The sequence below is a fragment of the Homo sapiens genome, chromosome 16, assembly GCF_000001405.40.
Source record: "Homo sapiens chromosome 16, GRCh38.p14 Primary Assembly".
Lineage (NCBI taxonomy): Eukaryota > Metazoa > Chordata > Mammalia > Primates > Hominidae > Homo > Homo sapiens.
In genome coordinates this window covers 24,438,674-24,440,745 of record NC_000016.10, presented here as the reverse complement: position 1 = coordinate 24,440,745, position 2,072 = coordinate 24,438,674, and positions in this window count along the sequence as shown.

The window sequence follows — 2,072 nt, the reverse complement described above, 5'->3', positions numbered from 1 at the left end:
GCCCAGATCTTTCCAGCCAGTGAAACCCTTGCTTTCGAAGAGTTCTGGTGTTCAGGTTTCGGCCATGTCCCGGTCTTCTTGGTTCCAAAGGGGAGGAATTGTTGGTTCTTGGTCTTGTCAAAGCTTTTTCTATTGCATATGCCCAGGCTGCCTGACTTGCAGCTTTTGGCTCTGTTACGTCTAAAAGACAAGCCCACATTTGCTTATAAACAGAGTAGGCCCAGTTTGGGCTGGTCCCATGGTTACAAAGGGAAGTGACTCAGTCACCGAAATCAGGAAGCATAGATTAGCCTATTGGGACCAGGACTTTGGTGCCCGTCTGACAAGGAAAGAGATGGGTCCCAGGCAGCAACCACCTGCCCCTTCTTGCTACTGCATTTCATGGCTGCCACCATAGCATGCATGACTACGGTTTCTGAGCAGCAAAGGCTGGGGTGGGGCCCAGGAAGTCACAAGAACCTTCTGTAGGGATGTTCCCATTTGGGTCGGAAGGGTGGATGAGACTAAAAATACCACCTACATGACATATTTACTCTGCTCTTGTTAATACCCTAGAGAGATTGCCAAGAGTCACTACCACCAAGCCTGTGATTAAGCCGTAATAACCACTTTTGTGTTTATAAATTTTGTCCTTGATATCAGAGAGGAGTATTTTTAGGCTAGAACTTGGAGCTAACAAATCCCATTGCAGGAGTGCGGATTTAGGCAAGCATCTCTCAAGGAGAACTTCCCAGGGCACAGCAACTAGGCCAGGAGAGATCTGTCCATAGGAATAAATTGGGAGGCTCCAGGCACCATGTCTCCATCTTGTGGAAAGCTTTGTAGGGAAAACTCTCCCCAAACTGCACTTTTCCTCTACTCTCACGCTACAACAATCATCAACACAGAAGAAGACTTCTGTGACCAAATGTGTGGGTTTTTTTCCCCACACACCAAGCAGTGGACCCCAGCTGGGTGTCCTCTAATTCAGTTCCTTCACTATCTACTTGGAGATAGTGTCAGATCCCAGGCTCAGTCCCCAGTACTGTCCCCCTACCACACTAGTTGCAAGTCTGGCCTCTGGAACTTCAAGTTGGGGTTCCCATGATTCACTGAACTCAGGGAAACACTTACTTACATTTGCCATTTGTGATAAAGGATATTTCAAAGGATACAGATGAAGAGATACATAGGGCGAGCTATGGGGGAAGGGGCGTGAAGCTTCCATGCCCTCCCTGAGTGCAGCATCCTCCAGGAACCTCCACGTGGTCAGCTATCTAGAAGCTTTCTGAACCCAGTCCTCTTGCTTTTTTATGGAAGCTTCATGACATCAGCATTCCTTCCCCCAGAGTATAGGGTGGAACCCTCTAATGGGAGGGTCTTAAGACCCACAATCAGAAAGGCGGGTAACATTAGAGTCCTGCCTTGGAGCAGGTGAAAGGAGGGTAGGGAGAAAGCCAAAGGCCTGTCGCTGAGGCCTAACACACCCAACAGGACCACAAATCACTGTAGCAAAGGCTGTGGGAGTTAGGAACCAGGAACCATGGATGAAAACCAATACGTATCATAACACTACAGAAGCTAATCACACCAGGGCGCACATCCCTTTAACTCAGGGCACCTTGGCAAATGTGGAAGCTTTGTGGATATCTGTGCCTTTTTATTTTTTATTTTTCATTTGAGACAGGGTCTCACTCTGTCACTCAGGCTGGAGTGCAGTGGCATGATCACAGCTTACTGCACCCTCAACCTCCCAGGCTCAAGTGATCCTCCCACCTCAACCTTCCAAGTAGCTGGGACTACAGGCACTCGCCACCATGCCCAGCTAATTTTAAAATTTTTAGTAGAGACAGGGTCTCACCATGTTGCCCAGGCTGGTCTTGAATTCCTGGGCTCAAGTGATCCTCTGGCCTCAGTCCCCCAAAGTGCTGGGATCACAGGTATAAGCCACCACACCCAGCCATATCTCTGCTTTTCTATCCTCCCACCCTCATAGCACTACTTATTCATCCATCCATCCATCCATCCATCCATCCATCCATCCATCCATCCATCCATCCATCTGTCTATCCGTCCATCCATCCGTCCATCCA